At 47.7% G+C, this 12,356-nt stretch overlaps 1 protein-coding gene across 8 annotated transcripts in view, besides 1 other annotated feature; it reads right to left on the bottom strand.

The window, feature by feature from the left end:
- ATP8B1 (ATPase phospholipid transporting 8B1) overlaps window positions 1-7,630 on the bottom strand; it is a 156,890-nt gene extending 149,260 nt beyond the window's left edge. For 5 of the 8 annotated variants that reach the window (XM_047437547.1, NM_005603.6, NM_001374386.1 and 2 more), the window contains exon 1: window positions 7,313-7,630. The gene's annotated coding sequence lies outside the window, so the exon portion shown is untranslated. Of the gene's footprint in view, window positions 1-6,000; window positions 6,148-6,246; window positions 6,340-7,312 lie in introns of those variants that run through there. The other 3 variants (XM_047437543.1, XM_047437542.1, XM_047437545.1) reach the window with 3 other exon arrangements.
- Window positions 7,250-7,887: an enhancer, noted in NCBI's record as "H3K27ac-H3K4me1 hESC enhancer chr18:55470167-55470804 (GRCh37/hg19 assembly coordinates)". NCBI's record gives its function as "activates a minimal SCP1, AML or CMV promoter by ChIP-STARR-seq in primed H9 embryonic stem cells {active_cell/tissue: H9 hESC(primed)}" and the evidence as "EXISTENCE:reporter gene assay evidence [ECO:0000049][PMID:30033119]".

Here is a 12,356-nt window from a genome sequence, read left to right on the forward strand (position 1 = left end):
GTTACAGGGACCAGGAAATAGGAAGAAGGGGGTAGTTACTCTTTCATGGGCATAGTTTCTATTTGAGATGATAAAAAGTTCTGAAGGTGGATGGTGGTGATGGTTGCACAACAATGTGAATGTACCTAATGCCACTGAACTGTGCACTGAAAAAGGATCAAGATGGTCAATGTTATGTATATTTTACATTTAAAAAAAAAAAGTCAGGCGCAGTGGCTCACACCTGTAATCCCAACACTTTGGGAGGCTAAGGTGGGCAGATCACTTGAGGTCAGGAGTTCAAGATCAGCCTGGCCAACATGGTGAAACCCTGTCTCTACTAAAAATACAAAAATTAGCCAAGCCTGGTGGCCATGCCTGTAATCCCAGCTACTCAGGAGGCTGAGGCAGGAGAATCACTTGAACCCAGGAGGCAGAGGTTGCAGAGAGCTGAGATCGCACCACTGCATTCCAGCCTGCATGACAGAGCGAGACCCCATCTCAAAAAATAAAAAAATTTAAAAACTCCCATGAAATAAACTTCTACACCAAGAAGACAAGATCATAAGGAACCTCTCCTCCTCTCAAAGTTGTACTGGTACAAATCAGAGCACAGATTTTCTTTTAATTCTTACAATCTTTGTAGCCTGATGAACTTCACACACTTGGAGTCCTTACTGTAACAAAAGTTCTGGAGGTTGCTGGGTGCAGTGGCACATGCCTGTATTCCCAACTACTCGGGAGACTAAGGCGAGAATCACTTGAGCTTAGGAGTTCGAGACCAGCCTGGGTAATATCTTGAGACCCTGCCTCTAAATGAAAAAAACAAAAACAACAACAAAAAACTGGAGGTTGATACAGCAGCTACTAGTGCCTGACTTAGAGGACTCACACTTTAATTTTTCAATATAAAGATAGGGGCATTATTTCCCAGCATGAAATGTACAAAACCTACCCATCTCCCCAAGTGAGTAAATATTTAAACCACCCAAGCCAAAGGGTTACCTATGCTGTTGTTTGTTTGTTTGTTTGTTTGTTTTTGAGACAGAGTCTCGCTCTGTCACCAGGCTAGAGTGCAGTGGTGCAATCTCAGCTCACTGCAACCTCCGCCTCCCGGATTCAAGCGATTCTCCTGCCTCAGCCTCTGGAGTAGCTGAGACTACAGGCGTGTGCCACCAGGGTTTCACCATGTTGGCCAGGATGGTCTCGATCTCTTGACCTCATGATCTGCCTGCCTTGTCTTCCCAAAGTGCTGGGATTACAGGTGTTAGCTATGTTCTTATAGAAAATGTTAAGTGTTCCTTCTGGATCTACAGATCATGCACAGAAATCTCAGAGGATCATGTCAGTAACTCACTAAGTTCCAGGAAGAGAAAATAAGGATGTGTACATGAATCACACCACACTCTATAAAATAAATAGTGCATCCAATCCATGGAAGCTTCCCTGAACAGCAAGAATATACATTCTGATACTAAGTGAAGGACAGTATTTGGTGCCTGAGGGTTTCCAAAGAGGATTTTCTAGTGCAACTCAATTTCAATAAAGGTTAGAAAACTGTTTTCAAAAGCCACCTGCACTAAATCAAACAAACCGCAACTCCAGTAGAACAAAAGCCACTCAGCAACAAAGTAACAAAGCCATAAATGACAGCCCTGTCAATAAAGACCAAGCTACTAGCCAAAGGTCAGGCTCCACAGTACTCATTGCAGAAGTGCCAGGCTTCTCAATCACGCTGTGGGGGATGGTGGCCTTCGCCACTGAAAGGCTGCCCAGGAACAGAGGTGACCCTCCCCTCCAGGAGTCAATGTCAGACTGAGAGCTGGTTTCCCACTCCATCCCCACCACAGCTTCCAGGCCCATTTGTCACCTATTAAATGCAAATATACTAGATTGAAAGACTGATAAAGAACACAGATCTTCAGAGTGGAAGTGGCCTGGGCTATCCCCCAGGACCTAAAGAAACCATCCCTCCATGCAAAGAGGGACAAGGTCCCAAGCAGGAAGAGAGCAGACACCTGATCTGCTTTCTTTCTTTCTTTTTTTTTTTTTTTTTTTTTTGAGATGGAGTCTCACTCTGTCGCCCAGGCTGGAGTACAATGGCAAGGTCTCAGCTCACTACAACCTCACCTCCCAGGCTCAAGCAATTCTCCTGCCTCAGCCTCCTGAGTAGCTGGGACTACGGGCGCATGCCACCACACCTGGCTAATTTTTGTATTTTTAATAAAGATGAGGTTTCACTATGTGGGCAGGCTGGTCTTGAACTCCTGATCTCGTGATCCACCCGCCTTGGTTTCCCAAAGTGTTGGGATTACAGGCATGAGCCACCACGCCAGGCCTCTGATCTGCTTTCTCACCAAAGAAGAAACCCAACTCAGGCCCTCTGTGAACCCCACAGACTTCCATGAAGCAGAGAGGTAATTCCCCCAGCATAGTCTAAAGATGAATGAATGAAAGGAGCTATACCAAGGTTCTCTGTCATTAGCAACGCCTACCCAGGATCCACAACTAAGAAAACCACACAGGGAGCAATGAGCCTTTCAAGAAGCCACAGGGTTCAGAAACTGTTGAGTTTTAAACAGGTAGTAATTAAAAAACAAAACAAACAAACAAAAAAACCAGGAGTGTGGGTCAGAAATGGTGGTTCACACCTATAATCCCAGCATATTGGGAGGCCCAGGCAGGAGAACTGCTTGAGCCTAAGCGTTCAGGAGAAGCCTGGGCAACATAGTGAGACCCTGTCTCTACAAAAAAAAAAATAGAAAAAAGAAAAAAAGAAAAAAAATAGCTGGGTACTATGGCACACCTGTGGTCCCAGCCACTTGAGAGCCTGAGGTGGGAGAATCACCTGAGCCCAAGAGGTCAAGGTTGCAGCAAGCCATGTTCATGCCTCTCCCCTCCAGCCTGGGTGACAGAGCAAGACCCTGTCTAAAATAAATAAATAAATAAAGTTAAAAATAGAAAAACAGGAGCGTGGAGGATGAGGGAGAGAAAAGACCAACTGATGTGATGGGTAAAGGGGGCTCAGGAGCATTCCACGGGCTTCTACTGTGCAGGAAGAGGTAGCAGGTGAGACAGCAACCAGGCCCCCTCACGAGTTCTCCTGCAAGGTTAAGAGGCAAATGAGCACTCTGGTCCTCTGAGCCACCAGGGCTTAAGAACAACAGTGTAGATCGGAGACTTAGAACCTTGCCCCTGCTCTGGGGAACTCTATCTTTCCAGTGCCTGGTGCAAATGGGCACTGATGTTTGCTAAATAAATACTAACTTGTAGAATGATTCCTGTTTCCTACATAGCCCAGGAGAAAGGCAATGGCTGGGTGAGTGATATTTACAAAGTCATAGCAACAACACAACAATGTATTAACGACTACCTTTTACTGAACTGTGTGCTAAGTCCTCTACCTAAGCTATCTCATTTGGAACTCATCACACAGCCTTGTGAGGCCATACTATTATTATCCCATTTACAGATGAGGAAACTGAAGCCTAGAGAGGCAAGGTAACTTGCCCTAGGTTATGCACCTAGGAAGCTATGAGGCCTGCGTTCCAACCCAGGTCAAAAGACTCCAAGGCTGGCAACCTCTGTTTCACTGCTGCCTCTGGACTGCTTGCAGGGACCAGTTATGAAACATATTTCTCATTGTGGAAGGGTTGGGCAACAATTTATTTAAAAGTGCAGTGCATTTATAAGTATCAAAGAAAGTACCAATATGGCCTTAAAGATTCAGATGATAAAAAGTTATCTGTTTTTTAAGAAAATGAGGCCGGGTGCGGTGGCTCACGCCTATAATCCCAGCACTTTGGGAGGCCACTTTGGTGGATTGCTTGAGGCCAGGAGTTTGAGACTAGCCTGGCCAACATGGTGAAACCCGTCTCTACTAAAAATACAAAAATTAGCTGAGCATGGTGGCACACGCCTGTGATCTCAGTTACTCGGGAGGCTGAGACACGAGAATTGCTTGAACCAGCGAAGAGGAGGTTGCAGTGAGATTACACCACTTGCACTCCAGTCTGGGCGACAGAGCAAGACTCTGTCTCAAAAAAAAAAAAAAAAAGAAAATGAGAAACAAGACTAATATATACATATACACACGTATATAGACATGCTCATATCTATATACATACATGCACATATATATGCTTTCAGAATCTTCCTAAACAATACCAGGTCTTCAGTGATAGAGGACCTCAAAAGATCTTAGATTAGGTATTACTTTTAGCTGGGCATGGGAATGGGGATTCAGGAGTAACTTGGTTAACAAAATGAAAAATATAACCTGTCTTCTTTTTATGGTATTAACACTCTTCTGGCAGCAAATTAATTTTTTACTTAATAAGAAACAAAAAACCTACAGGCATGAATACAATTAATCTAACTGAATGTCAACAGACCTGAAAACTCACAAGATACCTAAAGACACCACTAAGAAAAACTTTCCAGGAGACTAAACTAGAACCAAGTGTACAAATAAACTCTAAAATTAAGTGCTTAAGCAATTTAAAAGGCATCTCTTTTTAGAGAGATTTGGGACATAAATTGTTCTGGGGCCAGGCACAGTGGCTCACACCTGTAATCCCAGCACTTTGGGAGGCCAAGGCAGGAGGATTGCTTGAGGCCAGGAGTTTTAGATCAGCCTGGGCAACATAACAAGGCCCTGTCTCTATGTATTTTATTTATAAAAAATTTTAAAAAACAACTTGTTCTGGTACCTAAAAAGCAAGTTCCTCTGCATTCATGAGTGCATCGGTTTCTTTTTCAGTAACCGACACTAAAGAGCAAAGGTAACTAGGAAAAATCTCTCTGGAGTTGTTAGAATTACCTGCATTCTGTGAATGTTGCTTATAAAAAACTAAAATGGAATTTTAATTCATAAGGCAATAAAATCTTAAAAATATACCAGATACCTGCAATAATAGTATTTTTAGATATCAATCTAATAAAGAAAGTAAGAAACCAACATTCAAACACTGACTATATATAAAGAACATTCATATGTTCTCTGATTTAATTCTTTCAACAATCCAAAGAGATTGATAATATCTTTTCCCCTCAACAGAGCAGCAAACAGAGGTTCAGAAAACAAGAATTCATTTAAGGTTATACAATTAATAAGGAAAAGAACTGAAATCTGTGGGCATTTTTATATTTTCCACTACTCCTTGCTTCAAAAGGATGGAAAAGAAAGAGGAAAGAGGAATGGACGGAAGGAAAGGAAAAGAACATTCTACAGCCAGATCTGGTAGTGACTCCATTAGCACTAAGATCCCCTAGACTGAAAATCAGATTAAACATAAAATCAGTCCTGAACTTGCCTTACCACCGAAGACTTCTTTTTGCGAAGCCATTTGCTGTACCACATTATTATTTTTAAACTTCTATTGAACAAAAAACAAAACAAAACCTCTCCCAGTTCTATCACTAGGATGTAATAACATGTGCACACAGGTGTGTGTGTTCCTTAAAATCCATAAGGAAAACTTGAAAGCAGCCAGAGCTGACCTCACACAGGTGGCATCTGTGTTGGACAGTAATAACCAAAAGAGTCTTGCTCGGCCCTTAATAACCCACGCAAAGAATCACTAAAAGTTACTAAAATACAGCCACTGGAAAACGACGAATGAACAAAGTGGTTAATGTTCCTTCCCAAAATTATAGCAAGGAAAACTCCACCACCTAATGAAAATCATTAAGAGAATTCAGAGGAGTTAACTGCAGGCAGGCGTGACTTCTCCCCCAGAAAGTAATCAGCTAATAAGCATTAATCATCTTGTGCACAGTCTGCGCATTTATAATAGGGTTTAATAAAGCCTTCAACAACAGGCCCAGAATTAATGAACGGCATCTTAGGTCTAACACAAAAGTATTCCTTAGCGGACGAAAATTAGCGCTTCTACTTCACATTTGCTGTCGTGTCCCCCATATATACGGGCTCGTATTCACTATCCCTGGAGGCTTTATCACGCGTGGTTTTTTTTAGCTTTTGTTCCTGAAAGCAGTTAACCTTCATCGATAACCTACCGTGTGCCGGGTGATCTCCAAACATCCCACTAGTTTTTTCTTTTTTTAGTTTCCCATGGGTAGTGGCAAAATTTTGAAGGCAATGCAACCAGGAAGATGGGAGCGAATATTTTCTCACGCCAACAGGGAGGCCAGTTTCCGGGAGAGGAACTCGGCGGCGTCTGGAGCTACCCAGGAAGAGCTTGCAGCCCCCAAGGGCAGCGCGTGCAGGCCAAGGGGGTCGGGTAGGGTTGAGCGGGTACTCACCGGGCAGAAGCGCGGCCCAAGTCCTCCTTACTTCTGCGTGTCAATCCCCCTTCCCCAATTTGCATCCTTACTGCAATCCAGTCTCCCCCGTACAACCGTCACGGATCTGCGCTCCGAGCACCGCCCCCCCCCGCAACCAGCCACCAACCCCCGGCAGGGACCACAGGCACACGCCTCCGTCGGAAAAGTTGGGCAGACACTTCAGAACTTTTCTTTCACTTTGGGGAGAAGGAGGGAGTTGGAGAAGTGGGGGCGAGGGGTGTTAAAGCACTGGGCCATTCTCTGCAACATCTCCCCGCGCCCCCCAACAAGTTGCCCCTCCTCGTGCACACAGCGAGGTGACAGCGCAGGGCACCAAACTGCTGAGGGAAGGAGATGCCTGCAGCCATCTCAGCGGGGCTGGCGGACGCGACCCGACAGTCACCGGAAAAACAGTGGTGTCGGTCTTCCCCATCACCTCCCCTCCCCATCCCACAATAAAGCGCACGGAAGATGTCTGGGAGTACCTGGCCCTGCCACAGGAGCTGGGGAGGAGAGCGATCTCACCCCCTCCATCCCTCCCGGCAGGTGGGCCGCGGTCAGATACGTTTGGCCCGCAAGTCCTTTTCGGACACGTTGGCATCTGCTCCCAAAGAGCGCCCCAGCAGGACCCGGTCACCGGGGTCTTCCAGAGGGGCGGTAGCCACCGCACAGGAGCCAGCGGCATCCCCCAAGGAGCCGCAAGCCCTACCTGGCTTAACCCCCGGACATGTGTGTCGCTACCGATCGAAGAACCCAAACACCCCGAGATTTCCCTCCTCTAGGCAGGTGAAAACCCCACGGAACTCTCCGCAGCGCTGCCTGCCCAGCCGGCCGTGTCTCGCCGTCCCCGAGGCCTCGGGGGCTCCCAGCACCTCCACCCAAATCCCACCTGTGCGGGCTCGGGAGTCCGAGGGCGCTGACAGCTGCTGCCGCCGCATCCCGGATCTCCAAAGTGCGGCGGGAGCGGCCAGGGAACCTGCAGGACACCGCCGGGCCAAGGGGCTTGGGAAGGTCTGGGGGCCCCCGGCGCCGCACCCCTGCTTACCTGGCGTTCGCTGGGCCCCGGCTGGGGCATCCGCCTGGTGCGCGCCGCTCGGAGCGCTCGCTGCGCACCTGGCCGCTGCCGCCGCCCGCCCGGCCCCAGCCCTGGCCGCCGCGCTAGCGCTGCATGGCGCACGGGGGCTGGCCGGGGGCCCGGGGAAGCGTGTCTAGTTGGCGGCGGCACCTCCGGCTCTCGCGGCTCGCTAGTGGCTCCCCCGCCTTTCCCCGCCCCGCGTCCGTGCACCCTTCCTCTGCAGCCGCCCTTTTGCCTCCGCTCCGCCGGACCGGCCAAACTGGTTTCTCCGCTCGGGGAGGTGCCTCTGGTTTCCCTCCAGCAGCCGCGGCCGCCGAGCCTCGCTGGGGCTGGGGCTGGGGCTGGAGGCGGGCTCGGCCTTCTCCCCTCCCTTTTTCCCTCCCTAGGGCGGAGAGGGGCTGGACTGCAAGCCCCGGGGCGGCCCGAGGCGGCCCAGGTCCAGCTCCTGCCCCACGCCCTCCGTGCGTCCTGGAGTCAGGTGGGCACCCCTTTCAGTCTTCCGAGCCCAGCCTACGAGCCCTTGCCTCGCCCAGCCTGAGACCCAGTTGCTGCGGCTGCTCTTAGCTCCCCGGGGGCCGCACTCGCCACCACACCTCTCCAGCCCAGCGTCACTTTCCCGCTGCCCTTGGCTGGCTTGGCCGTCACCCCGGGTCGAGGACTGAGCCAGCCTGGAAAGCTGGCGGGGCCGCGGCGCGCCCGGGACCTGAGCTCCCTCGGTAAGGGGAGCTGTGTCCTCTTGATGCCAAGTCATGTTTGGGGACCGGTCACCGAATGCGCGTCAAAGTTCGCCGCGTGGAGGGTGAAGAAAGAGGCTGCGCCTCAAGACTTCCAGAAACGTATCCTGTGATTGCAGCCAGCAGGCTTTCTGCCGAGTCCAAACGCTATCGAGTTTTTTTGGGTTTGGAGTCAAAAGGAGTTAAGGTGCGGCCCGTGAACCACGCGGTGTAGGTGGAAATTTTGGACTCAGCGCCTCGTTGCTGGCTGGTGTCTGAGCGGGTGAATCGTGCCTCCCTGGCAGTATAGACATTACCCTCCTTCTTGAGTAGACTTTTGCCGCTCCCCGACTATGGACCGAGTCGTTGGGATAAGAATGGAGGAAAATCAAAGATCAGAGTTTGCTTAAAATGCAGTAGGGGAGCCAGGACTCCCACACGATTCCCAGTCACCTAGAGGCTCACATCTATGCCCAAGAGTCCAGACTCCCAACTGGGTCATCACAGAGGCTTCCTACAGGAGGCCGTGCTTGATGGGACTCAAAGATCCACAGCTTTAAGGATCAGAGTTGTGTAGAGAGGGTATTCAACGGGTGGCCAACTGGTAGAATCTTGTCTGATACCAACCCCGAGGCTGCTCTAGGCTTCTTTTTCATGAGTCAAACTTGATCTCTGACTAGGTGCTGGTCAGTCACTCAATCTATCCAGGCCTCAGTTTCCTCATTTGTAAAATGAGATTGGACCAGATGGTCTCTTCCAGCACTTATATTCTGAAGCTAACGACAGAACAAAGGTACCGATGCAAGAGAACATAGGGCCTGTTGGTGACACTGGTTGATCTAAGACATTTAGACTTGTTTTTGGTAGCACCTGCAAACCGTTGACAATTTAGGACCGAGCATGAGCATGATCAAGGTTGTGTTTTAGGGAAAATAATAGGGAGATAGTCTAGAGAGGATAAAACTGAAGATGGGAGAATCACTTGAGAGGCTGGGACAGCGACATACGGAGGAGTTGCCAGGGGAAGTAAAAAGGAGGAAATTCAAGGGACACCACAGAAGAGAGATAGGGCACGAAGTGGCCACAACCTGCAACTGACTGGGAGAGGGGAGCAATGGAAGGTGAGCCAGGTTCTCAAGACTGGGTTATGGCATGCAAGGAGCAGCAGACTCCAAAGGAGGGAAGCCGTTTAGGAAGACTCTGCCCCTATCTGGATAAATGCCAGCAAACCTAGGAATCAAGAGGGGATTCCAGACTAAAGGGGGCACCCCCTCCTTGCAGATCCACTACCAAGTGCTCAACCTGTCCAAGAAAATGTTACATAGAAGAGACTAAACAAGGACGCATCCAATCTACACCTGTACCTAGATCTGATCAATACCATTCTGATGTCTGCATTTATTTACTTGTTTATTTATTTATAGAGACAGGGTTGGGTTTCACTATGTTGCCCAGGCTTGTCTTGAACTCCCCAGTTCAAGCGGTCCACCTGCCTCAGCCCCCCAAGGTGCTGGGATTACAGTCATGAGCCACCACCTGTACTAAAAATACAAAAATTAGCCAAGCATGGTGGCGGGCGCCTGTGGTCCCAGCTACTCAAGAGGCTGAAGCAGGAGAATCAATTGAACCTGGGAGACTGAGGTGGCAGGCAGTGAGCCGAGACTGTGCCACTGCGCTTCAGCCTGGGCAACAGAGCGAGGCTCTGTCTCAAAATAAAATAATATTCTTTCATTCAACAAAGATTTGAGTGTGAGTGCCTACTGTGTGTCAGGCAGTTTTCTAGTTGCTTGGGTACATCTATGAGCCAATCAAATATCTTTTTTTTTTTTTTTTTTTAGACAGAGGCTCGCTCTGTTGCACAGGCTGGAGTGCAGTGGTGTGATCTCGGCTCACTGCAACCTCCACCTCCTGGGTTCCAGCAATTCTCCTGCCGCAGCCTCCCGAGTAGCTGGGGTTACAGGCACAGCCACCAGGCCAGGCTAATTTTTGTATTTTTAGTAGAGACAGGTTTCACCATGTTGGTCAGGCTGGTCGTGAACTCGTGACCTCATGATCCACCCACCTCAGCCTCCCAAAGTGCTGGGATTATAGGCGTGAGCCACTGCACTCGGCAAGTATCTTAAAAGGTGGCAAATGCTTTGAAAAAATAGAACAGGCTGGACTGGGAGAAGGCCCCTGAAGGAGCTGCCTTTTGGAGTGCTGTAAAAGTTATATTTCTTGATCTGAATGATAATTATACGAGTAGACGCATATGCAAGAATTCATTGACCTGTATGCTTAAGATTTATACATTAAAAAATAATAGACCAGGCACGATGGCTCACACCTGTAATCCCAGCACTTTGGGAGATCAAGGCAGGTGGATCATGAGGTCAGGAGTTCAAGATCAGCATGGCCAAGATGGTGAAACCCTGTCTCTACTAAAAATACAAAAAATTAGCCAGGCGTGATGGTGGGCATCTGTAATCCCAGCTACTGAGGAGGCTGAGGCAGATAATTGCTTGAACCCTGAAGGCAGAGGTTGCAGTGAGCTGAGATTGCCCCACTGCACTCCAGCCTGGGCAACAGAGCGAATAATAATACTACTACTAATAATAATTGAGCAGGATTAAGAGATTAGGATTTGGAGGATGAGTCACAATTTTAAATAATGTGGTCAGGGTAGGCTTCTTGAAAAGCTGCATTTGAAAAATGACTTGCAAGAAGGTAGAGTTTCATCTTTGATGAGACAAATCCTTTGAAAACCCATTTTGCATGGAACCCACCAGATGGAGGCATGTTAAAACCTTATCCTAGGCGCAGTGCCTCACGCCTATAATCCCAGCACTTTGCGAGGCTGAGGCCAGTGGATTGCTCGAGCCTAGGAGTTCGAGACCAGCCTGGGAAACATGGTGAAATCCCATCTCTACAAAAAATACAAAATAAAATTAGCTGGGTGTGGTGGCCCGCACCTGTAGTCCCAGCTACTCAGGAGGCTGGGGTGGGAGGATCCTTTGAGCCCAGGAAGTGAAGGCTGCAGTGAGCTGTGATTGCACCACTGCACTCAAGCCTGGGTGACAGGGCAAGACACTGTCTCCAAAAAAAAAATTAAAAAAAAAAACAAAACCAAAACAAAACACCCACACCCACACAACTCCACAACCTTATCCTAGAACACTTCCCCTATGTAAGTCTTCCTCATCTTAGGAAGGAGGTTCTCAGAGTGCATCAGCTGGTGTTGCTGATGAAGGAATTAGCTCACCTGGAAACCGACCTTGTCCTTTCTGAAAGAACCATGCCAAATTTTGGGGTGCCTTGTCAGGGCAATCACTGGAAGTGTCTCACATGCAACAATTTTAAAATGCATCTTACATGAGTCACTGAGAGATGACTTCTTTGTCCTGGCAGAGCCCTGATTCCACCAGCCTTGGCAGCCCTTTCTCAGCATTCTCAGATGGGATTGAATAAACACTCTGGTTTTATTTAGAAGTCACTCTCATTTAGTAACCAACGAGCTGCTGGGGGAAATCACGAAATGTAACAGAAATGGCCATTTCTTTTTATGTTTTATTTTTTATTATTTTTTTGAGACAGGGTCTCACTCTGGCACCCAGGCCAGAGTGCAGTGGTGACCATTGCTCACTGCAGCCATTGTGCCCAGAAATAGCCATTTCTAAAAGAGGGTAACAATGATTTTCAACTTTTGTAGTTCATAATTTCCTCTGTTTCTTTTTTCCCCCCTTTTCTTGGCAGCAGTCTTATGTACATTTGCATGATGTGGGTAGGAAAGCCAGGGAGGTTGCCAAGAGAGCTAGCTCAGTTTTACTGAAAATTTATTTCCTGGAATTTTTTTTTTTACAAGATAAGATAAGTGATAAAAGATATGTTTAAATGGAGGTGATACTGCTTGTATTCAGTTCTTTGCTAAGCCCAGTGGTCGTTTAAGCTAAAGCATTTAATGCCAATGGAAAGACTCATGCTGCACTAGGTGCTATTGTAACCCATGCTTGGCAGTCAAGATTAACTCAGTTGAAAGTTCTTCACAGTCATTATCCAGACCAGATCCAGAATTTTAAATCTGATAAGACACCTCTTATGTGAATCTGTCCTAGCAATAAGTGACATTAGAATTTTCAAATATCTGCCCCACATCCTTCGAAATGGCTTTTAAAACAACAAATACAGATGATATATTCTATTTTCTCTGGCACAATGAGTTTTCCAACATTCCTTCTAAGTTACAAGGCTTTCCACTTCCTTTACTACTTAATGACTTCTTTTTTTCTGACTAACATTTTAAAATAAGAAATTAGATTGCAAAA

Source organism: Homo sapiens, chromosome 18 (genome assembly GCF_000001405.40).
Source record: "Homo sapiens chromosome 18, GRCh38.p14 Primary Assembly".
NCBI classification, from domain to species: domain Eukaryota; kingdom Metazoa; phylum Chordata; class Mammalia; order Primates; family Hominidae; genus Homo; species Homo sapiens.